The 26,156-nt window shown below is 38.6% G+C and overlaps 1 protein-coding gene across 11 annotated transcripts in view; it reads right to left on the reverse strand.

Annotated features, from left to right (window-relative positions):
- Positions 1-26,156, reverse strand: part of ANKRD13C (ankyrin repeat domain 13C) — a 95,724-nt gene that overhangs the window by 63,913 nt on the left and 5,655 nt on the right. For 7 of the 11 annotated variants that reach the window (XR_007064007.1, XM_005271235.4, XM_005271234.4 and 4 more), the window contains exons 2-3: positions 13,147-13,188; positions 1,942-2,046 (exon numbers count right to left, since the gene is read on the reverse strand). Coding sequence is in view for 10 of the 11 variants with exons in the window: in XM_005271235.4 (XP_005271292.1) it covers positions 1,942-2,046; positions 13,147-13,188 (147 nt within the window). In the remaining variant the exon portion in view is untranslated. The remainder of the gene's footprint in view (positions 1-1,941; positions 2,047-13,146; positions 13,189-26,156) is intronic. The other 4 variants (XM_047431282.1, XM_047431278.1, XM_047431276.1 and 1 more) reach the window with 1 other exon arrangement.

The raw sequence follows: 26,156 nt of genomic DNA on the forward strand, positions 1-26,156 counted from the left end.
AACCCGGGAGGCAGAGGTTGCAGGTAAGCCTAGATTGTGCCATTGCACTCCAGCCTGGGCAACAAGGGTGGAACTCCGTCTCAAAAAAAAAAAGAATAATTGAAAGTCACAAAAGTCACACTAGACAGAAACCCAGAAGACAATCTTGTTTCCTCTCCATTCTGTTAATTAGTTAGAAAAATCAGAGGAAGTTTCTTCAGACCAGTTGTTGCAACTCTTATTATCAGTTTCTTTTGGGTTTGCACATTTTTTATCTTTTCCTTGAAATAATTCTAGGATTAGTATTGTTTCTTGCTCTCATGAGGGTCTCCTGATATTTGTCCAGAAAGGACAACTGTCAGTGTATAACAAATAAAAAAAAAATACACTCACTTTAGTTGTTAAAATATTACAATTTTATCTCAGTAAATCTTAGACCCAAATATAACTTCACCATTAAAAGTTGTTTATAGGCTGAGCACGGTGGCTCATGCCTGTAATCCTAGCACTTTGGGAGGCCAAGGTGGGCGGATCACGTGGTCAGGAGTTTAAGACCAGCCTGACCAACATGGTGAAACCCCGTCTCTGCTAAAAATACAAAAATTAGCCAGGCATGGTGGCAGGCACCTGTGATCCCAGCTACTTGGGAGGCTGAGGCAGGAGAACCCCTTGAATGCAGGAGGCGGAGGTTGCAGTGAGCCAAGATTGTGCCATTGCATTCCATCCAGCCTGGGTGACAGGGCGAGACTCCCTCTCAAAAAAAAAAATTTTTTTTGTTTATAAAGTTCAGGAAGTCCACAAAAATGTATGTGCGGTACAATATACAGCTAAATAATTTTTTTTTTTTTTTTGAGACAGAGTCTTGCTCTTGTCGCCCGGGCTGGAGTGCAATGGTGCGATCTCGGCTCACTGCAACCTCCGCCTCCCAGGCTCAGGCGATTCTCGTGCCTCAGCCTCCCGAGTAGCTGAGATTACAGGTGCCCACCACCATGCCTGGCAATTTTTTTGTATTTTTAGTAGAGACGGGGTTTCACCACGTTGGCCAGGCTGGTGGTGAACTCCTGACCTCAGGTGATCCACCCGCCTCAGCCTCCCAAAGTGCTGGGATTACAGGCGTGAGCCACCGTGCCCAGCCTGCCAAATCTTAAGAAAGCACCCAGAAGAGCCCAAAACGTAGCATCAAAATAAGACTGAATCTATGTAACACCTAGGAGAGTTCCACATTATGCATTTCTTTAATAAAACTGCCAACGTTTTTTATTTCCTTCCACAAAGTTAGATTTAATTGATCATTTTCAGCCTAAAAATATAAAGATAATATTATCAGCAAGATAATATTCCCATTCATCCAGATTAAGTTTTGTACAATTTTCCACTATTGAGATATACTTGACAAAAATAAGATCTGTATGTGAAGTTGAAAAAAATTCTGGGTAGGAGGAGGGAGAGTGGAATAACTCAACATTCAGCATATTATCAAAAAGAATATGACATGTTTTGGAAATACTCTTTTAATGACTAAAACAAAATAGAGACAGTCTTCTTCCTTGCTTCCAGCAAAATCTATACCTACCAACTAAAGCAGATAACTATTGTAACACTATGGTTATTTTTAGTTCCAATAATGGCCTATATAATTAAGCAGTTGCCAAAAAGGACAGTCAGGTATCAATTTTTTTTTAAAGTCCTGTATTATGGATGAATAAAAAAAGAATCAGAGAACATCAGTAAGGTAGAATGCAGCAAAAGAAAAAAAAATTCATAATTTTAAACGTGATTCTTCAACTCTTTCTGGGTTCCACTCAATGTTCAAGTTCCTAAGTCATGAATAATTCACATGTAAGTTTACACATAATTGCAAAAGTTCATATTATGGCAAGTTACAATGAATGAAGAATATTTCAAATGCATCACTTCATATTTTTAGAAGATATATCAACAACAGTAATTCATATTGCTTACTCATCTGCCTATCTCCATAGCTGATGGCTTCCGCCAGAGGGCTCCATCCCTGAGCATTTTTCACCTTGACTGGAGCATTGTGAGCCAAAAGTAAATGGGCACATTCTGCAATATAAAGTAGTAATAATATCAAACATCATGCAATTTTTAGAATCTCTAAATATAAATATATAAAAGTTTAATAAACCAAATTAACATAAATAGATGAAATAAACATTGTACCATGTAGAATTATGTAATTTGAAAAATTTCTATGTATCTAACTAAACCAGGTAATTTCAGATCCCTAGATTTAAAAAGTATCCATTCTACTGCCTAAAAATAAATTGGATCTCTCTGCAAAGAAGGTATCATGTTCCCTAATAATTATTCCAAGAGTATTTTTTTAATGTTTTCATACTCTAAAAGATAACCCAAGAACTTCAAGAGTGATTTACTTGCAAATACCTATCAGCTAGTAAGACCCAAAAGAGGATCTGTGTGTCCATAATGTCAAATAGTAAGTTCATTTTTTATTTCAGAAACAAAAGTGCTTTCAATAAGAGTCAGTAATGTTTCCAAAACACATTTATTTTTCAAATTTTATAATTGTTATGGTTTGGAAAAATGTTCAGAAAAAGGGCAAAACTCGGCTTATGATACAACGACAAATCTAGATAGTTTTTCAAATAATCAAAAGAAGTCTAAGGTATAGACCTTTCTATAGGTTGAGAAAACTTTTTCTTTAATTAAAAATAAAAAGTTGGCCGGGCGCGGTGGCTCACGCCTGTAATCCCAGCACTTTGGGAGGCCAAGGCGGGCAGATCACGAGGTCAGGAGATCGAGACCATCCTGGCTAACATGGTGAAACCCCGTCTCTACTAAAAAATAAAAAAAATTAGCCAGGCATGGTGGTACGTGCCTGTAGTCCCAGCTAAATGGGAGGCTGAGGCAGGAGAATCGCTTGAACCCGGGAGGCAGAGGCTGCAGTGAGCCAAGATTGCGTCACTGCATTCCAGTCCAGATGACACAGCGAGATTCCATCTCAAAATAAAATAAAATAAAAATTAAAAAATAAAAAGTTCACTTAACAGGAAAAAAGTTAAAACTGAGGCCCACGCCGGGCACAGTGGCTCATGCCTGTAATCCCAACACTTTGGGAGGCTGAAGTGGGCCGATCACCTGAGGTCGGGAGTTCCAGACCAGCCTAGCCAACATGGAGAAACCCCATCTCTACTAAAAATACAAAATTAGCCGAGCATGGTGGCGCATGACTGTAATCCCAGCTACTCGGGAAACTGAGGCAGGAGAATCGCTTGAACCCGGGAGGTGGAGGTTGCAGTGAGCCGAGATTGCGCCATTGCACTCCAGCCTGGGCAACAAGAGCCAAACTCTGTCTCAAAAAAAAAAAAAAAAAAAAAAAAAAAAAAAAAGACAGCCATCCATCCATTCATTCAATCAATAATTCAGCAAATATTTACCAAATGTCCATTATATGCAATTTCTAAATACCAGGTACTAGACAAGGTATTGCTATCGAAGAGCATAATTCCTATGTTGGAATATAACATGTAAATTAATAACTAGAAAAGAAAAATAATGCAAGATAATGATAAGTGCTTTAAAAGAAATAAGAGTGTTAAGACAGTGTAATGTGGGTTGGCTAAGGTGGGGAACAAATGGCACTACTTTAGCACTATTCCTAGTGATAGAAGAAATAAATATACTAGCAGGGAACTTTATCACAATAATGTAAAATAAATACAGAAATTTCATAGCAGTGTTTCAATCTGGTAACAGTATATAAGAATATATGTACATGAATGTTTAATGTTGTTTGTATGGCAATTATACTGGAAACAAAGTGAATGTCCACAGTAGGGCAATAACAGACATGTTGCATCTACATTACATTAATAATATAGTCATTTTTTAAGACTAGAGTCATATCAAAAGTACAGAGAAGCCAGCTTGAATGGTTAGCCAAATTTGGGAAATTTAGCATCAAAAAGAATAATGGCTAACTAGTTATAACACATTGAAAAAAAAAACTGATAAGCCCATAACAACATCAAGAAATAAAAGGGTGGGCAATAAGTTCTTACTTACAGAATAATGCAATGCTACCTAATAAATGTAGAAGAAATGATAAAATTAGAAAATTTAACATAATACCCCAGTAATAACTGGTTTAGGCAAAGGTCTTTATTGAATGCTAAAGCCACTAGGTAAAAAGCTTTATGCTGGGAATAGGATATTCACATGGAACCAAAGTATTGTCCCAAGAATATTTACTAATAACAAACAGAAAAATGTTCCTTTACAATGGATATATTTGAAGATTATCACTTACACGATCTAACTTAGTGGCAATTAATGATGAAATAATCTGATATTGTGTGTTTCCAATGTGATATATGTAAAGTTCCTAATATCACCTATGAAATATTCTATCCAGAAATGTTTAACCTGAATCTAATAAAGCCTCTATAGCTGATTTTCAATTCACAGAAAAAACAAAGGATAAAGAACAGGTTAAGAAACATGGAGAGAAAATGATCAGGCAAATCTGAGAGAAAGGACATTCTACAAGTTAACTGGTCAAGACTTTTCAAAAAGTTGGGCACAAAGGTGGGGAAAAGGTGAGCAAATTGCTCTAGATTATGAGACATAACAACCAAATGCAATGAGTCACTCTCAACTGGGTCATGTTTCAGTATAAAAAACCTATAAATGACATTCTGGGAACAATTGGAGAAATCTCAATATGCATTGGGTATAAGATGATATTTTAACAATATCATTAATTTTCCTTGGTGTGATCATGATAATGTGGTTATGAAGGAGAATATCTGTATTCTTAGAGGTGCATGCTGAAGTATTTGGGGGTAAAATGTCATGATATCTACATTTAGTTTTCAAATGGTATAACAACAATATATATAAATAAAGGCCAGGTGCAGTGGCTCATGCCTGTAATCCCTACACTTTGGGAGGCCAAGGGGGGCGGATCATCTGAGGTCAGGAGTTTGAGACCAACGTGGCCAACATGGTGAAACCTGTCTCTACTAAAATACAAAAAAATTAGCCAGGCATGTTGGAACTGGCCTGTAATCCCAGCTACTACGGAGGCTGAGGCAGGAGAGCTGCTTGAACCCAGAAGGCGGAGGTTGCAGTGAGCCGAGACTGTACCACTGAGCGAGACTCCGACTCAAAAACACAAACAAATAAAACAAACAAATAACAACAAAAAAATTTATATATATAAAACATAAAAAGATAAAATATGAAACAATGTTAATTATTGAGTCTATATGGAAAGCATTTGAATGTTTGTTGTGATAATCTTTCAATTTTGGGGGTATATTTAAATTTTTTATAATAAAATATTGAGAAGGATAAAGGAATTAAATAAATCAAAAAAAGGAATCAATCAGAGTCATCTCAACAGGCTTAAAGGAATGTTCACGGTGTACTGCTAAGTGATAGAATTCATCTGCTCAACACAGAAGTATATAATGATTGCATTGTTTAAAAAGGAATGAGTAAGCCTAGGTGCAGTGGCTCACACCTATAATCTCAGGACTTTGGGAGGCCAAGGTGGGCAGATCACCTGAGGTCGGGAGTTCAAGACCAGCCTGGCCAACATGGTGAAACCCCATCTCTACTAAAAATACACAAAGTAGCCAGGTGTGGTGGCACATGCCTGTAATCCCAGCTACTTGGAGGCTGAGTCAGAAGAATCGTTTGAACCCTGGAGGCAGAGGTTGCAGTGAGCCGAGACAGCGCCATTACACTCTGGCCTGGGCAACAGAGAGAGACTGACTCAATAAATAAATAAAAGGAATGAGTAAAAAACTACATACATGAGTGTGTATGTTCAGACACATGCACAAGTATTTCTATATAATAATAAGCATAGAGAAATGTATGTAAGAATATCCAGCAGGTTTTAACATGCATTACCATATTTATTGGGAAGGGGATTAGTAAGAAGAGGGGATGATAGCCAAGATAAAAAGAAATTTTTTTTAAAAAGAATAAAAACAAACGGACCCATCTCCCAAAAAACCATTGGGTTTTGTAAATATGTTTGTATGTATACATGTATAGGGGAATGTAAACATGTAAGATATCTACAAATTTCTATAGCTATTTCATGGTAGACTTTTGAAAGAAAAGAAAAATATGGCAAATTACTATCTGTAGGGATTCTACTTCCATGAAAACAAACAAAGTCCCTGTGTTGTAAGTAAAGAGTACGATATGAAGGGATATCCATGAGGCTGTAAATGTTAACTACATCAAGAAAAAAAAAGTAGAGAGATGATGCTTTTATGTATCTATGTATTGTATGATTTCAACTGTTTCAACATGCATGTATTAGTAACCAAAAAAATCATTAAAGAAAAAAATAGGCCAGGAGCAGTGGCTCACACTTGTAATCCCAGCACTTTGGGAGGCCGAGGCAGGTGGATCACGAGTTCGAGACCAGCCTGGCCAACATAGTGAAACCCCATCTTTACTAAAAATACAAAAATTAGCTGGGCATGGTGGCCCACGCCTGTAGTCCCAGCTACTCATGAGGCTGAGGCAGGAGAATCACTTGAACCCAGGAGGTGGAGGTTGTGATGAGCCAAGATTGCATCACTGCACTCCAGCCTGGGCAACAAAGTGAGACTCTGTCTCAAAAAAAAAGAAAAGAAAAAGAAAAAAAAGATACTATAAAAATATTAAAAAGCAGGTTGCACAACAATAGCTAAAGGAATACCTCAGAATTCATGTAAGATTTATACATTGTGCTAGACACATATCAGCAATGTTTCTGATATGCCACAGACCCAGCAGAAAAGATGCCCTTCACGCACTAGTCACAACTCAACTGAAGTAGAGATTAGCAACTAACAAAAAATCAGATAATCATAGATATGCTAATAACCTATGACATAGTCTTATAATTTAAAAAAAAAAGAACTGGTGGCCAGGCACGGTGGCTCACGCCTGTAATCCCAGCACTTTGAGAGGCTGAGGCGGGCGGATCAGGAGATCAGGAGTTTGAGACCAGCCTGACCAACATGGTGAAACCCCAGCTCTACTAAACATACAAAAATTAGCCAGGGTGGTGGCACACACCTGCAATCCCAGCTACTCAGGAGGCTGAGGCAGGAGAATCACTTGAAACCAGGGAGCAGAGATTGCAGTGAGCCGAGATGCACCACTGCACTCCAGCCTGGGTGGCAGGGCGATATTCCGTCTCAAAAAAAAAAAAAAACAACCAGATCAATCGAATGTCTTCTCTCAGTAATGTTAACAATGCATAATAAGAAAAGAAGGTAGTTAACAACTAAGCACTAAGGCTTAAAGAATGCATAAATGTGCCAGGAAGAACTCAAGGCAAGGACTGTGAAAAACGCAAATTATGAGGAATAGAAATCACACATTTAGGCCGGAAACAGTGGCTCATGCCTACAATCCCAGCAGTTTGGGAGGCCAAGGTGGGTGGATCACCTGAGGTACGGGGTTTGAGACCTGTCTGGCCAACATGGCAAAACCCTGTCTCTACTAAAAATAAAAAACTTAGCTGGACGTGGTGGCATGCGCCTGTAATCCCGGCTGCTCAGGAGGCTGAGGCAGGAGAATTGCTTGAACTTGGGAGGTGGAGGTTGCAGTGAGCAGAGATCATGCCACTGCACTCCAGGCTGGGTGACAGAGTGAGCCTCCGTCTCAAAAAAACAAACAAACCAAAAAAAAAAAAAAAAAAAAAGAAATCACACATTAATAAGTAAGAACTATAAAGACGATCAAATATAGAGAGAACCAGTGAGAAAAATAGGACAGTTGGAAACAACAGAATATCTACAGTTATTAAAGTTAGAAACCATATTAATTCTAAAGTTACTTTAAGAAAAAATAAAAAATTGCAGATCCAAAAAAGACTGAAAATGAATTAAAAGTTGCAGCAACTGGTTTGAAAAACCTTTCTCTCATATTTTCAACCAAAAGGATAAGAATTAAAGATTAGTTTTTCTATATCATCTCGTAAAACTTCCTGAAACCTTCCTTACTTAAGTATAATATTCTTCATTTCCATCCAAATCCACAGTTCAATAACCTCCCACGTGACATTACTAATATTAGTCAATGGACTCAGAAATTCAGAAAAAAATCAGTCTTCTGTGGTGAAAAACTAACGTTATTCAGTAGGTTAAGATGAGTGAGAGAAGGAAAGCATGTAGAAGTATAAAAGATTCTCTTTACCTCAATCAAAATATTACGTGAACGCCCTGGGAAATTTTGTTGTGTTTATAGACAAGTACAGAAACAGAACGTGCCCTTCAACAATGAAATCACTAAAGGTACAGTGTATCTTAAAAGAAGATAAAAGAGAATAGACTATCTAGGCTGAACAATGATATAATGTAAAAGCAAGGTATAGAACACTAAGTAGGCCAGGCGCAGTGACTCACACCTGTAATCTCAACACTCTGGGAGGCCGAGGTGGGTAAATCATCTGAGGTCAGGAGTTCGAGACCAGCCTAGCCAATATGGTGAAACCCCGTCTCTACTAACAATAGAAAAATTAGCCGGGCATGGTAACACACACCTGTAATCCCAGCTACTACTAAATGAAATCACTAAAGGTACAGTGTATCTTAAAAGAAGATAAAAGGGAATAGACTATCTAGGCTGAACAATGACATAATATAAAAGCAACGTATAGAACACTAAGTAGGCCACGCACAGTGGATCTGTAAATCTCAGCACTTTGGGAGGCTGAGGTGGGTAAATCACCTGAGGTCAGGAGTTTGAGACCAGCCTGGCCAACATGGTGAAACCCTGTCTCTACTAACAATACAAAAAATAGCCTGTAATCCCAGCTACTACTAGGTAGGCTGAGGTGGGAGAATCGCTTGAACTCAGGAGGCAGAGGTTGCAGCCGAGATCATCCCACTGCACTCCAGCCTAGGCAACAGAGCAAGACTCGACTCAAAAAAAAAAAAAAAAAAAAAAAGGAACACTAAGTATAAAGTAGATGTTTTACTTTCCACTACATATTCTAATCTCACTCTTGTGCAACCAAATATAAAAAATATCAACAGACTTTCAAGTTTGTTTGAGTTATTTTAAAAAGAGAATTATACAAACACATACATAAAGATCATAAGAAAAAAAGCAAAAAAAGGGTGCACAACTGGAAAAATGTTAATGGATCAGTATGTAATTGGTTGTGTCTACTCTATTTGAAAAGGATTCAGAAACAACAAATACCAACATTATTTGCAGATCCTGAATCATCTAACCAAGTGTTTCCCAAAATACATCCCACAGAACTGTAATCTGTCAAGATACTTGTAAAAAAGAGCAAACATCAAATAACTGTGGGGAACTCTGACCACTATGTCCAACACATGCCCCAACTTGAAACATTACAATGCATATTAGCATATCAAATTTCTAACAAGTTCCACAACAAAGAAAACTTTTTAACTTTTATTTACCTAATATTTTTCAAATTGATTTGCTCTGGAAACTCTATTTTCTTCTAAATACCTTTCAATATCCCATAAAACTAATGTGGTTTTTCTCCTGTACTTCAATGGATGCAAAGAAACTAATGTTTTATGAAATATATTTTAATTTGTTGTTGTTGTTGAAACGGAGTCTCGCTCTGTTATCCAGGCTGCAGTGCTGTGGTATGATCTCGGCTCACTGCAACCTCTGCCTCTGGGTTCAAGTGATTCTCCTTTCTCAGCCTCCCAAATAGTTGGGATTACAGGCATGTGCCACCATGCCCGGCTAATTTTTGTATTTTTAGTAGAGATGGGGTCTTGCCATGGTGCCCAGGCTGGTCTCAAACTCCTGGCCTTAAGTGATCTGCCCGCCTCGGCCTCCCAAAGTGCTAGGATTACAGACGTGAGCCACCACGGCTGGCTGAAATACATTTTAAAACAGGCTGATATAAACCGATGATGAAGCATAATAGTACATCTATCTAAAATTAGAATACCCTCTGTGAGAATATACTTGAGTGGAAAAATAAAATAAAATTAGAACCCTCAAACAGAGATGGCAGATAGGCTTCATTTCACATTCAAATCCTGGTAAATCCATATTAACTACTAAAGTGCTAAATTAGGAAGGATTCCAGAATAGCAATCAGATTTGGCAAGTTGCATGTTGGCCAACTTTGATACAGACCATATCCTTTCTGAATGGTTCTCAGTGAAAAAGAGGGCAAAGCAATACACCATTAAAATAGATTTTAGAGCCAGGCACTCCCAAGTTGAAATTAAAACTTGGCTACTTTACTCTGGGCAAGTTTTGGGGCTAATGTTTTTCTTCCATAAAATGGAGATAATAATAGTACTTCACTCACATGGTTGTGGTAAGAGTTAAATGAGTAAATACGTGTAAAGTACTAGGAAAAGCATCTGGTATATTGTAAATAATAAATTCTAGTTATTTTCTAAAGTTCCAATCCAATGTTCTTTGAAAAAAAAAAGCGCAAGTTTTTATTGATCAAATTCAGCTGGCTGTATCTGACATATTTTCACCAAGGTTGCTAGAGATGTCAATCATGGCCTGCCCTATCCACATTCCTGCTAAAGTAAACATACTTCCTTTGTATTCCTGATTCCCTCTCCTACCCCCAAATCTCACCCAAGTCAGTCTAGCTAAAGCTAATTTCACAGAAGCAAATACCTATCTTAAAGACAGATAATTCATAAGTCTGCCATCACCCATCACTTGTGGCTTGGCTTGAGATAAACTGGACCAATCAAACTTTTTGCTCAGAAATTTGCGAACCTAAGAAACCCATCTAGTTAGCAGTGAACACCAGAAAGTCAACTTAGGATCCTAAAAGAATTATTTTAGGTCTGTTCAATTTCAGTAAACAGGAAAAGTCAATCACGAAAAAGGAGAATACCGCAGATATAAAGAACAGCAGACACACCATAAGAGATTGAAAGATGATAAGGAAATAGGAGAATGACTGATTCCTCCAAACATCTTGGTTCCCACTCTTCCTGAGACCTGGCTGGTACCTACTTCTTGAGTTTCTCTAACATGTAGCCTTTTAATGAATACTTCTTTACTTAGAAGTTACTCTAGTTAATCTTACTTGTTAAGAAGAAAAAAAAGCCATAACTATAACATTGAAGATACAGATTTGAATCACCAATTATATAGAATTAAAATAAAAATTAAGGTCAGGCACAGTGACTCACATCTGTAATCCCAGTGTTCTGGGAGGCCCAGGAGGGAGGATTGCTTGAGGCCAGGAGTTTGAGAATAGCCTGGGCAACATAGCGAGACCTCATTTCTAAAAATAAATTTAAAAGTTAGTTAGGTATGGTGGCATGTGCATCTAGTCCTTGCTACTTGGGAGGCTGGAGACAAGAGGATCACTTGAGCCCAGGAGTTTGAAGCCGCAGTGAGCTAGGATCGCACCACTATACCCCAGTTTGGGCAACGGAGCAAGACCCTGTCTCTAAAATAAAAATTATATTATCCTGTGGATCATACACTTCATTTAAAGATTTGAACTTAAAAATCAAACTAGCAAAAGAACTTTGTTTTTCAACAAAACAAGTTCAAGCCAGGGCAACAAAGTGAGAACCTGTCTCTACATAAAATGAAAAAATTAGCCGGGCATGGTGGCATGTGTCTACAGTCCCAGCCACCCTGAAGGCTGAGACAGGAGGATCACTTGAGCTCAGGAGTTCTCAAGACTGCAGTGACCCATGATTGCATCATTGCACTCCACCCTGGGGAACACAGCGACACCATGTCTCAAAAATAAAATAAAGGCCAGGCACGGTGGCTCATGCCTGTAATCCCAGCACTTTGTGAGGTCAAGGCGGGTGGATCACCTGAGGTCGGGGGTTCGAGATCGGCCTGACCAACATGGAAAAATCCCATCTCTACTAAAAATACAAAATTAGCCCTATAATCCCAGCTACTCCGGAGGCTGAGGCAGGAGAGTCGCTTGAACCTGGGAGGCAGAGATTGTGGTGAGCCAAGATTGCACCATTGCACTCCAGCCTAGGCAATAAGAGTGAAATTCTATCTCAAAATAAATAAATAAATAAAATAAAATAAAAACAAGTTCTAGCAATATCCCTAGGCCCATACATTCAGATCAAATGTTTACACTGACAGATACATTATACCATATAACAACAACAGATGTTCATAATGATACTTCTAGATCATTGAAAAAAAAATCTTAACAGAAGTTCATTAGCCTGTCTAAAAATATACAATTATATTTCTTTAAAAAATTGTATCATTTGGGTGCGGTGGCTCACACCTGTAATCCCAGCACTTTGGGAGGCCGAGGCAGGCGGATCATGAGGTCAGGAGATCGAGACCAGACTGGCCAACATGGTGAAGCCCTGTCTCTACTAAAAACACAAAAAATTAGCCAGGCGTGGTGGCATGAGCCTGTAGTCCCAGCTACTCAGGAGGCTGACGCAGGAGAATTGCTTAAACCTGGGAGGCAGAGGTTGCAGTGAGCTAAGACTGCACCACTGTACTCCAGCCTGGGCAATAGAGCGAGACTCTGCCTCAAAAAAAAAAAAAAGAAAAAATTTTTACTAAACACATTTAAAATATAAAAATCTAGTACTCAAAGCATTGCTATTCAGCTATCTAAAATCCTCACTTTCCAGAATAACCGGGGATCTAAATAACTAAAGTTTTACTGCACTTAGGAATAACCTACAAAAGTAGGTATCTTTTAAATCACCTGCCTATAAGGCTTTTTAATTAAATAATGACTACTTTAATAAATACTTAATAAACAAGTATTAAGTTTTTGCAATTATCTACCAAAGGCTCAACTTATGACTTTATATATATAAAATATTATATATTAAAAATCATATAAAACTCTAATATGAAAAGTATAATAATAAATCTTAATATTTGGAAATAAGTCTTCTAAAATTATAAATTCCTGCTTGATAAAACAACCAAGTAAGGGGAAAAAAAACATAGTTTCAAAAGACATAAAAGTTAGTACAGGATTTCCACCAACACTTTTTAAAAAGGGCCATGGAAAACAAGAAAATATTTACTAATTTCAATATACTAAATTCTAAGTTCAATTAACAGATAAAATGAGTTTTTAAAAACTCAAAAGACAAAACTGATCTTAAAAATTTTAAACTGACTATATATAAATGAAGTTAAACATAAAAAAAGAAAATATTTACTAACCTTTATTTCCTAACATCACAGCAAGGTGTAAAGGAGTATTTCCTAAAAAAAATAAAATAAAATAAATAAATTAGAAGGTGTAAAAACATAAGAACATTTACTTAAAAGTGGTTTCAGCTCCTTCAGAAATTTCACTGGCAGATTTTAAGCAAAAATACTGTGACTGCAAAATAATATTGCTTATATAGCAAATTTAAAGTCAGAAGATACCATGATTTCTGAGTACAATGTACTCTCCAACCCCTCCAAAAAAAAGGATATCCATTTTGAGATTTATTTTTCAAACAGATTTCACAGATTCCTTTTGCTGCTAATTTCTCTTTCACATTATTCTTTGTTCATTTAGCAAACAATTTAAATATCTAGTCATCCTTGGGGACAAAAATCAGTAAGACTGAATCCCAGTTTTCAAGTTGTTCGGAAAGTCTGCTGTTAGAGACAAATATGAAAATAAATAATAATTATTATTTATTAAATAGAAGGGAGTACAGCCTGACCGTAGAACATATGGCAGAGCTCATAACTTTGCAGAGAGTTAAATATTGAAGAATGGACCACACTGAAATGAGCCTTAAAGAATTTGTTAGAAATCTGTAGGCGAACAAAAGCAACACTGCCTAGCATTCCAGATTTTTTTTAAAGTGATCCAAATCACCACTCAAGTGCAGAAACAATTTATATTTGGGAAACAAACAAACAGTTATTATTAGTGGGGGTGAAGAAGTTATAGAAAACAGTAAAGAATGATATTGGAATGATGAGCAAAAGACAAAGACTTGAAAGCTGTGCTATGAAGTTTGGACTACATCCTATAGTTGATGTTATAGAATGACGAATTTAATTTCAAAATGATACCCTAAGCCATACTTATGATCTAAATGTTAAACCAACAGTAATATTTGAAATTAAAAAGTCAGTAAATAAAATTTGCTAAATTTCACATATCAGCAATTTTACGAAAGTCATCACATTAACAATTACGACCAAAATAATAAGCAAAACATTATCAAGGGATCACATGCAGGACATAAGAGATGTGCATGTGATAAATTCCAGTCTCAGCTTGACAAGAGATCGGCCATGATTCAAACACACACACACACACACACACACACACACACACACTTTTGCTCAATAAAGGCAGAATGGAATGGGAATTGTTGGCAAAGTCAGCAAAATACTATTTTGAGCAAAATTTAGAAAACAGCACAAATAAATTCACTACACTAAAGTCATCTCCATGGCCGGGCACGGTGGCTCACGCCTGTAATCCCAGCACTTTGGGAAAGTGGCAGGCAGATCACCCGAGGTCAAGAGTTCAAGACCAGCCTGGCCAACATGGTGAAACCCCATCTCTACTAAAAATACAAAAATTAACCAGGCGTGGTGGCACCCGCCTGTGATCCCAGCTACTTGGGAGGCTGAGGCAGGAGAATTGCTTGAACCATGGGAGACAGAGGTTGCAGTGAGCCAAGGTCACTCCACTGCACTGCAGCCTGGGCGACAAGAGTGAAACTCTGTCTCAAAATAAATAAATAAAATAAAATAAAATAAAGTCATCTCTGTAATTAATTTTACCAAAAACAAAACAAAACCCTGGATTACAGAAAATCTCTTGATCTTAACTAGGGACAAAAAAACAAGACAGATTTGGAGATATAAGTGACATTATGTTTTTCAGAAATAAGAACCGGAGGTACAAATTTCCATTGGTACTTAGTACTTTAATATGAAAATATGCAATGAAGAAAGCATCTTTCAGCCGGGCACGGTGGCTCACGCCTGTAATCCCAACACTTTGGGAGGCCAAAAGGGGCGGATCACCTGAGGTCGGGAGTTCAAGACCAGCCTGACCAAGATGGAGAAGCCCCATCTCTACTAAAAATACAAAATTAGCCAGGGGTGGTGGCGCATGCCTGTAATCCCAGCTACTGAGGAGGCTGAGGCAGGAGAATCGCTTGAACCTGGGAGGCGAAGGTTGCGGTGAACCAAGATGGCGGCAATGCACTCCAGCCTGGGCAAGAAGAGCGAAACTCCGTCTCACAAAAAAAAAAGAAAAGCATCTTTCATTATAGGCAGTTTTATATATGAATTTAGTAAAATTGATTTCTCTCTCCTCCCACGTAGAAATTGCATACCTATCTCATGAAGACATTAAAGAAACCATCCCTCCCCTCACAAACAACTGTATGTCGGCAATTTTTCAATTTTATCCAAAGGACGAATAAAGTTAGAGACACTCAAGTGAATTTTCCGCATTAGGAACTCTCAGTAAAGCACAGTTTTCATCCTACTACTAACTAATATGTTCAGTTCAAATAAAATGAAAATGTTTAAGAACAATTTTTGTGTGTGTGTGTGTGAGACAGAGTCTCCTTCTGTTGTCCAGGCTGGAGTGCAGAGGCCGATCTGGGCTCACTGCAACCTCCGCTCCCGGGTTCAGGTGGTTCTCCTGCTTCAGCCTCCCGAGTAGCTGGGATTACAGGCGAGTACCACTACGCCCGGCTACTTTTTATATTTTTAGTAGAGATGGGGTTTCATCATGTTGGCCAGTCAGATCTCAAACTCCTGACCTCAGGTGATCCGCCCGCCTTGGCCTCCCAAAGTGCTGGGATTACAGGCATGAGCCACCACGCCCGGCCCTTAAGAACAATTTTAAACACAGTTATACACTGATAGATTAGGAGCCGTCTGTGGGTCAGATTCATAAACTATTCAGTGCCTTCAGTCTTCAGCATAATACAAGGTTAAAAAAATCAACATGAGCAAGTAACAATTTCCAATTTGATTGGTCTAGAATAAGGTCCTCTTCCTTCTTTTCAAAATATTGAACTAAATTTCCTAAGTTTAACTAAAAGTAGTCCTAAAAAGCAAATAAACTTGGCCGGGCGCGGTGGCTCACGCCTACAGTCACCGTACTTTGGAAAGCTGAAGTGAACATCTCACTTGAGGCCAGGAGTTCAGAACAGCCTGGCCAACATGGCAAAACCCCGTCTCTACTAAAAATAGCCGGGTGTGGTAGCGCACCCTGTAATCCAGCTGCTTGGGAAGCCGAAGTAGAAGAATCGCTTGAGTCCGGGTGGCAGAGGTTGCAGTAAGCCGAGATGGCGGCATTGCACTCCAGCCTAGGAAACAAAATGAGACCCTATCTCAAAAAAAAAAAAAAAGCAAACAAACTTGTCGACAATTTGGTGCTAGAGACAAAAGGTCAACACCAACTATGCCAAAACCAAAGATTTACTTTGAGCTATCATTCCATTTTTTTTTTTTTTTTTTTGAGACAGAGTCTCCCTCTTGTCACCCAGGCTGGAGTGCAGTGGCACGATCTCGGCTCACTGTAACCTCCGCCTCCCGGGTTTCAAGCAATTCTCGTGCCTCAGCCTCCCAAGTAGCTGGGATTACAGGTGCCCACCAACATACCCGGCTAATTTTTGGATTTTTAGTAGAGATAAGGCTTCACCATGTTGCCCAGGCTGGTCTCAAATTCCTGGCCTCAAGTGATCCACCCACCTTGGCCTCCCAAAATGCTAGGATTAGAGGAGTGAGCCACCGCGCTCGGCCTTCTAATTCCTTTTTATGTGCATTTTGACAAACTAAATTTTTCTAGCATTGTTTATCTCTTTTCATTTATTGGCATAAAATTTGTTCAAAATATCCGCTAATGATATACGATGACATTTGAATTTATACTGATGTAACACTTCTGATTCCTAATATCTGTTATTTGTGCCTTCTTTTTCTCTTGATCAGTACGTTTATTATTATTATTATTATTATTATTATTATTATTATTATTATTATTATTATTTTGAAACAGGGTCTTGCTCTGTCACCCAGGCTGGAGTATAGTGGCAAAATCATGGCTCACTGCAGCCTCAACCTTCCAGGCTCAAGTGATCCTCCCATCTCAGCCTCCCAAGTAGCTGGGATTACAGGCACACACCACCACACCCAACTAATTTTTTTTAAATTTTCAGTAGAGATGTCTCACTATGCTGCCCAAGCTGGTCTCAAACTCCTGGACTCAAGCAATCCTCCCACCTTGCCCTTCCAAAATATTGGGATTATAGGCATGAGTCACGGTGCCTGGTCTATTAATTTTATTCATCTTTTCAAAGAACAAAGTGTTGGCTTTGTTGCTCTATTTTTCTAATTTAATCATTCCTGCTCTTTTATTACTTCTATTTTATTTGGGTAAAATAAACTCAAATTGGGAAACTAAGCAACTTAAAATTGTTCTTCTAATTTCTTAAAACAGATTTGATGATTGATATTTTAGCCTTTTTCCTAATATATCTACCTTTTTAAAAATGTCTAGCTTATCTGCATTGCGATCAGAGAACAGGCAGTGTAATTTCAATCGTCTGAAATGTGTTGAGATTTGCTTTATGGTTGAGTCTGACCAATTTTTGTAAATGCTGTCTATATCCTTGCAAAAAAAAACTTTTTATTCTGCAGTTGTTGGGTTCAGCATTTCATAAAGAACCATTTTAATGGTGTTGTTCGTATTTTTTACATCCTTATTGATTTGTTGTTGTTGTTATTGTTGGCTTTTTTGGTAACAGAGAGGAATGTTAAAAATCTCCCACTATAATTGGGGGTTTCTGTGTCTTCTTGTAATTCTAGCAAGTTTTGCTCGATATATTTTGAAGCCATGTTATCAAGTGCAATCAAACTTAAAATTTTCATAGATTTTTGGTTAATTGAACCACTTTTCATTGTGAGACATGCACCTTTTTCTCAGATAATGTTTTCTGTTTTAAAACCTATTGGGGGCGGGCACGGTGGCTCATGCCTGTAATCCCAGCACTTTTGGAGGCCGAGGCAGATGGATCACGAGCTCAGGAGCTTGAGACCAGCCTAGCCAATATGGTGAAACCCCGTCTCTACTAAAAATACAAAAATTAGCCAGGTGTGGTGGCGCACGCCTGTAGGCCCGCTACTCAGGAGGCTGAGGCAGGAGAATCACTTGAACCCAGGAGGCGGAGGTTGCAGTCAGCCAAGATCACGCCACTTCACTCCAGCCTGGGCGACAGAGCGAGACTCCATCTCAAAAAACAACTATTGGGATATTAACACCATTATACCAACTTTTTTGAATTGGTATTTGCATGGAATATATTTTTCAATCCTCTCACTTTCAACTTTTTAACGTCCTGATGTTTTAGATATGTCTCCAACTGCATGCAGTTGGGTGTTTTTATCCTACAGTAAGACAATATTTGTCTTTTTAACTGAAGCATTTAATCCAGTTTCACATATACTTACTGATATATCAGGGTCCAAATCTACCATCTTTTTGTGTGTTTTTTTTTTTTTTTTTTTGAGAAGTTTCATTCTGTCACCCAGGCTGGAGTGGAATAGTACAATCTCGGCTCACTGCACCCTCCGCCTCCCAGGTTCAAGCGATTCTCCTGCCTCAGCCTCCCAAGTAGCTGGGATTACAGGCATGTGCCACCACACCAGCTAATTTTTGTATTTTAGTAGAGACAGGGTTTCACCATGTTGGCCAGGCTGGTCTTGAACTCCGGACCTCAAGTGATCTGCCTGCCTCAGCCTCCCAAAGTGATGGGATTACAAGCATGAGCCACTGCCAGCCCAGCCCCTTTTTGTGTTTTCTATTTGTTCTGCCTGTTCTATATCCCTTTTGCTTGTCTTTCTTACCTTCTTCTAGATTGACTATTTTTATTATTCCATTTTGTTTTTTAATCTATCTGGAAGGTATACATATTTTATTTTACTGTAGCAGGAAAGTGGCATGATACAAATTACATTTTAAAATCATTCTTGTCCTCATATAGAGAATGGATTGGAGGGGGACATAGGGAGACCAGTTATGAGTCTGGTGCAATATTCCCAGGAAAAAAATATAATTAAAATTGGTCAGTCTCAATGTGGTGGCAGAGACAGAAGTAGACTGGTTCAAAATAACTTGCTAATTACATGTGTATGGGGAGTAAGAAGTGGTGAAACAAAGAATGATCTCAGTGACTGGCTTGAGCAACTAGATAGTTAAGGATGTAATTTAAAAGAATGGGCGGCCAGGTGAAAGGGGAGGAGGCAGAAAATGATAACTCCATTTTGGACAAGTTAATTTTAAAATAACTCTGAGATTCCAAGTGAAGACAAATACAAAATCTAGACCTCAAAGGAGAAGTATAGGCTGGAGATATACATTTGGCAGTAAAAAAGAAGAGACAGGCCTGGAGCAGTGGCTCATGCATGTAATCCCAGCACTTTAGGAGGCAGAAGTGGGCAGATCATGAGGTCAGGAGTTCGAGATCAGCCTGACCAACATGTTGAAACCCCATTTCTACTAAAAATACAAAAATTAGCCGGGCATGGTGGCGCATGCCTATAATCCCAGCTACTCAGGAGGCTGAGGCAGGAGAATCGCTTGAACCCGGGAGGCAGAAGTTGCAGTGAGCTGAGATCGCCCATTGCACTCCAGCCTGGGTGACAGAGCGAGACTCCAACTCGGTGGAGGGGGGAATAAAAAAAAGAAGAGACGTTTACAATCAAATGTATAAATTCCTGAATATCCCTTTTTGTATCAATAGTGGAAGAGGTAGCAATAGTGGAAGAGGTAGCAATAGTTCCCTTTCTTCACTTCTCTATCTTTCAGGGAGAAAAAGAAGTACCATGCTCCAAATGGTAAAGAAAGAAACACACACACACAATAACACACACACACACACACACACACACACACACAAAATAACACTTGCTGCTGCCCAGGAGGGGAACTAGATAGGTAGAGATGGGTGAAAGGGAAACTTTTAACAATGTATCCTTTTATTTTTAAGAATTCTAAAGCATGTGAATGTTATATCTATTCAACAAATTTTTAAATTTAAGTTAAGGAGAGTCCACCAGAGTCTAGACAGATAACCTAGGTGAAGAAGTCAAGGTGGCCGTGCTCCTGGATAATTATCCTTTGTTTTCTTAACCCCTCAAGAACATAGAGAAAAGAGGGGGTAAAAGCATCAGTACCTACTGAAGTTACAAATGAAACCTTCCATTACAAGTCCAAATTTTAATCATATTATCACAAGATTTATGAACTAGAAGTCAGTTCAACAATTCAATCCCTCTTTTTAAAGATAAGAATATAAACAGAAATACCTTCTACTATGATGCCAAATATTATGCTCTGCTAATTCAATATTTTAAATGGCAAAATCATCATCACGATCACCTGGCTAACAGTGAATTTACTGTATTCACCAACTATATCATAAAACTAAGTGCTCCAACATCCTAGTTACTTCCATCTACTATCTCCTCAGTTTTCTATGTCCTCAACCTGCTGCTTAAGCTAATTTATTACACAAAGGATAATAAAAACATAAAATAAACTTTGCTATCAACTTTTCATAATGTACTTTTTAAATCTGAAATTGAACACCTTCATTCTAACTTGGTAAACTAAATCGAATTGTTTTGTCGAACAAGTGAAAAACATCCAGTAATATTAAGACCACTTTAGCTTTTAGGTAGGTTTGTTTGTTTGTGACAAAGTCTCTCTATTGCCCAGGGTGGAGTGCAGTGATGCCATCTCGGCTCACTGCAGCCTCTACCTCCTGTGCCTCAGCCTCCTGACTAGCTGGGATTATAGGCGTGCACCACCATGCCCGACTAATTTTTGTATTTTTAGTAGGGATGGAGTTTAGCAAAACTATGTTGGCCAGGCAGGTCTCAAATTCCTAGCCTCAAGTGATCCGCCCACCTCAGCCTCCCAAAGTGCTGGGATTACAGGCATGAGCCACCGCACCAGGCTAACTTTAGTTTTAAAATATGCAAAAAACACTGGCCGGTACAGTGGCTGCAGCCTGTATTCCCAGCAGTTTGGAACACTGAGGCGGGAGGATTGCTTGAGCCCAAGGAATTCAACACCAGTCCATGCAACATGGGGAGATCTTGTCTCTACAAACAATAATTTTTAAAAATTAGCTGGGGGCTGGGCATGGTGGCTCACGCCTATAATTCCAGCACTTTCAGAGGCCGAGGCGGATAGATCACCTGAGGTCAGGAGTTCAAGACCAGCCTGACAAACAAGGTGAAACCCCATCTCTACTAAAAATACAAAAATCAGCCAGGTGTGGTGGCAGGCGCCTGTAGTCCCAGCTATTCAGGAGGCTGAGACACGAGAATTGCTTAAACCGGGAGGTGGAGGTTGCAGTGAGCCGAGATCATGCCACTGCACTCAGCCTGGGCAACAGAGCAAGATTCCATCTCAAAAAAAAAAAAAAAAAATTAGCTGGGCATGGTAGTGTGGTATGCCTGTGGTCCCATCTACTCAGGAGGGTGAGGTGGGAGGATTGCCTGAGTGTCGGAGGTCAAGGCTGCAGAGTCGTGGTCACACTATTGCACTCCAGCCAGGATGACAAAGCGAGACCCTATCTCAAAAAAAAAAATGAATAAATGCAAATAATCAATAGAATGGCTGGCATTTAATGGGTATCTATTAAATGTGTTGGGCACTATGCTGTATATTTCTGATACCTTATTCATTTAATTTGCTCAATAATCCTATGAAACAAATATTATTCCTATTTCTCAAGAAGAAAAATAGACCTAATAATAGTTATTTTCCAAAATTACATACCTAGAAACTGGGACAGTTCATGACACAAAAATTTATATTCTTTTTACTGTATTAACAGTTTTCAAGCTTTTGAATCTCAGGACTCCTTTTATACTTCTAAAAATTATTAAGGATCACAAAACCTTTTGTATAGATATATCTATTGATATTTATCATATTAGAAATTAAGATTTTTAAAATTTTAAATGTATTAATTTTAGAACTATAATACTCACTACGTGTTAATATAAAATTTCTTATGAAAAAATTAACTACATTTTCCAAAACAAATAAGTGACATGAGCAGTCTATTTAAATTATTTAATTAAAAATAAAAATAAATTATGTTTCTTTAATGTCTGGCTTAACAGAAGACAGCAGCTAGGTTTTTATATATGCTTTGCACAAATTCACAGTTGATAAGAGTGGGAGTATTTTAATAACCTTTTCTGATATTTTTCTTTGCTACACACCAAAATTCACTTCTTAAAAGTTGGTTGCACAGCTGGGCGCGGTGGCTCACTCCTGTAATCCCAATACTTTGGGAGGACGAGGCAAGCAGATCACCTGAGGTAGGGAGTTTGAGACCAGCCTGACCAATATGGAGAAACCCCGTCTCTACTAAAAATACAAAATTAGCCGGGCGTGGTGGTACATGCCTGAAATCCCAGCTACTCGGGAGGCTGAAGCAGGAGAATCGCTTGAACCCAGGAGGCAGAGGTTGCGGTGAGCCGAAATCGCACCATTGCACTCCAGCCTGAGCAAGAAGAGCAATATTCCGTCTCAAAAAAAAAAAAAGATTGCAATGTGAAATCTAAAATCATATAAATAAGTTTTTTGTACTGTATTACACTGAAATATATTGGTCTGTCTTGTGCTTTGAATGGATCTTGTACTGATGCATGATTCTGTAACACCATGCATTGATATTTGAAAAACACCGGTTGACCAGGTTATGGAAATCTTCAAATGTTGACATATTTCACTGTACAATAGCAAAAAAACCGTATTTGGCAATATCACCTCCAATCTGACTAGAACAGTCTTTTATGTACTGGGAACCCATCAAGCTTACCATGGTAGAGATAAGTTCTTCAAATTTCTACTTTTCATTTGAAAGCTTCAATTTTTTCATTCACAACAAATAACTGTCACTTGTTTTCCTTGAAGTCATAGGTTTACTTCATTATTTTCCAAAAAATATTTGCCATATATTCAAACTGTGATTAACTATAGTTTGTCTGTAAACTGTTCTTTAAAGTAAAAATGGTGTTCCATGAAAAAGGTGGCTAGCTCAGCTTACACTCAAATACCCCTCAAACTTTTTTCTAATACTTTTTTTTTCTATTTTTCTTTTCTTTCTTTTTAATAGAGACAGGGTCTCACTATGTTGACCAGGGTGGTCTCGAACTCCTGACCTCAAGTGATCCTCCCATCTCGTCCTCCCAAAGTGCTGGGATTACAGGTGTGAGCCACTGTGCCTGGCTTCCCCACTCAGTTTAACAATGCTTTCCCTTATTTACCCAGTCAGTATGCAGCAGAGGAGCAAAAGGCACAATCCCAATTATGTCACAAATACCAAAAAAGCATGTACTCAAGATTAGGATGTAATAAAATTCATAATTTTTACAGTTTCATCAAAAACATTAAGTAAAATGGCCTTGTTTTAATTTTTAAAAATTAAAAATTAATTTGCATGGCAGTGAACAATACAATGACTACCAGCCCAGTTTGCTACTTTGACTTGCACTAAGATGTCAACAATTTTACTCACCAGTGCTTTTGAACCACCAATGAAAATGTCTGCAGTGAAAAAGGCAAGCAATGACTAGATATTATAAAAATAGTTGCGACTTTGTGCACCCCCTAACTATAGAACAAAGCAGGAAATTGCAAGTACTAGTACAGAGCTCCAGGTTCTACAGACTCCTTCAAGTCTGATCCAAGCAAGCAGTAAAAGGGGATAATTTCTGCATTCTCTCTCAAAAATGCTAATATACTACTAAAATACACACACCATATCATCTGACATCAAATCCAGCATCAACTTCTATCAGCTCTATCTTCTTATCACCCTCACAGTTTCCCCCAACTATAGTAGCTTTTTATACTGACCCTTGCCTCACACAACAGCCCGAGTGAGCCTTTTAAAATCAAATTGTGTCGGGCGGGCGCGGTGGCTCACGCCTGTAATCCCAGCATTTTGGGAGGTCCAGGCGGGTGGATCACGAGGTCAGGAGATCGAGACCATCCTGGCTAACATGGTGAAACCCCGTCTCTACTAAAAAATACAAAAAACTAGCCGGGCGTGGTGGCGGGCGCCTGTAGTCCCAGCTACTCGGGAGGCTGAGGCAGGAGAATGGTGTGAACCGGGGAGGCGGAGCTTGCAGTGAGCCGAGATCGCGCCACTGCACTCCAGCCTTGGTGACAGAGCGAGGCTCCGTCTCAAAAAAAAAAAAAAAAAAAAAAAAAAGGCAGTTCATAGAGAAGCATGGTCTCAAACTCAGATCTGATCAATACAGAAAAGGCGAAAGACCTTTTCCCTTTTTCCTATCCCTATTTTACATACTTCAGTGTTGCTCTAAAACTGATCACCCAGCTCTCCCTCAAGAAAATAAATGGTGTAGGAACAGAACCATATTGTTTGTCTGCCTGGCCCCCATCCAATTCTCTAGGAACTGCACTCATTTTCTGGAACCCAAGCATTCTGATAATTACACTGTACTCTTGAATTAAAGTAGATTTCTATGACTTAAGAATGGCATTAACTTGGGGCAGCTATCCTACCGAAAACTCAATTCTCCAATGAGTCCTCTAGAATTCAGGATGCCCAGGACCCAACATCACCAATAATCACCCATTTCTGCTACCTTTTTTGCCAAAGCTAAGAATTTCTATTCCTATTGCAGCCCAGTGCAGAAAAGGGGAGAAGAGGATCCTCCCTCCCTTTTAAGACATAGCTCTGCAGATGTGTTCTTATCACAACATTTGTAAGCAGTGGGTGAAGTTCTATAGTACTAATGGTGACACCATCAGGAAACACAGCCACTTAACCCAAGGACAGTCCTACTCTGTTGGAGATGCACATGGGGAAGAAAGACAAGAAAGAAGGAAGATGACATTCATCTAATAATGAAGATCAACTAAATCAACCCTGATCAATGGAGTAACATTTCACCACCAAATCACCCCCACACCCAGGTAAGGGGTATAACACACTTTAATGTGTTATAAACTTGAGCCTCTAGACACCACTTTCTTCCTAAGGGAAACTGAGGTCTATCCTACAAAAACAAAATTTAAAAAGAAACCTACAAAACACAAAGCAAACAAACAAACATAAAACTACTAATGTTCTTTTAAACACAAGCCATCATTTTAACCCTCTCCTGGTTAAAATTGTTCACCAGTAGCTAAAATTTTTTTTTCCATGCAGAGATTAGCTTTATAGTCACCTCTTCTAAAAGAGATCTATTACATATTATTCTTTTGTATCACCCATCATGAAGGTTTTAGTGACTAAAAGTAGAGAAAAAAATATCAAAAGGAAGATACGAGATTTATACAGAATAAACCAAAATAAACATACTGTATGGCCATGAAATAGATTATCCTATCTTCTCAATCCTCAAATGCACATTTTTTTTTTTTGAGATGGAATTTAGCTCTTGTTGCCCAAGCTGGAGTGCAATAGTGCAATCTCAGCTCACCCCAACCTCCACCTCCCAGTCCTGCCTCAGCCTCCCGAGTAGCTAGGATTACAGGTGCGCGCGACCATGCCCGGCTAATGTTTTGTATTTTTAGTAGAAACGGGGTTTCACCATGTTAGCCAGGCTGGTCTTGAACTCCCGACCTCAGGTGATCCACCCGCCTTGGCCTCCCAAAGTGCTGAGATTACAGGCGTGGTGAGCCACCATGCCCAGCCTGCACCTTTTTAATCTTTCTGAAATTGAGATTTTTTCCAATCACTGGCTAAAGAAATCTGCCAGCCATGAGGCAGAGATTTTACACATTAATCATTTCACTGTCACTTCCCTGAGGTACCTGCATCAGCAGGAATATTCTCAACTGAATTTTAACTTAAATTCGAAATCTCTAACATTGTGTGAAATAACTTCAAGAACATATTACAATGAAAATATTACAAGTAAATATGAAAATTAACAAGGAAAAATGAAAATTAACCATATATAGAGAAGATGGCTTGTCACCTGCCAGGCAATGTAATTAAAGGCAGGAGAAACTGCCAAATTTCTCAGAATAAATCAGAAATTTTTCACATCTAGGAAAGGCTGGCTTGAGCAATTCATATGTTCAGGACTTTCATCACGTTGGCACCTAAAAGCTTCTGACTAGCATCCAAGAGAAGCTGCTTAGCTTCTTAAAGACATTTAACTCAAAGGAAAAAACAAAATTACAAGTC

Source organism: Homo sapiens, chromosome 1 (assembly GCF_000001405.40).
Source record: "Homo sapiens chromosome 1, GRCh38.p14 Primary Assembly".
Classification (NCBI taxonomy): Eukaryota; Metazoa; Chordata; class Mammalia; order Primates; family Hominidae; genus Homo; species Homo sapiens.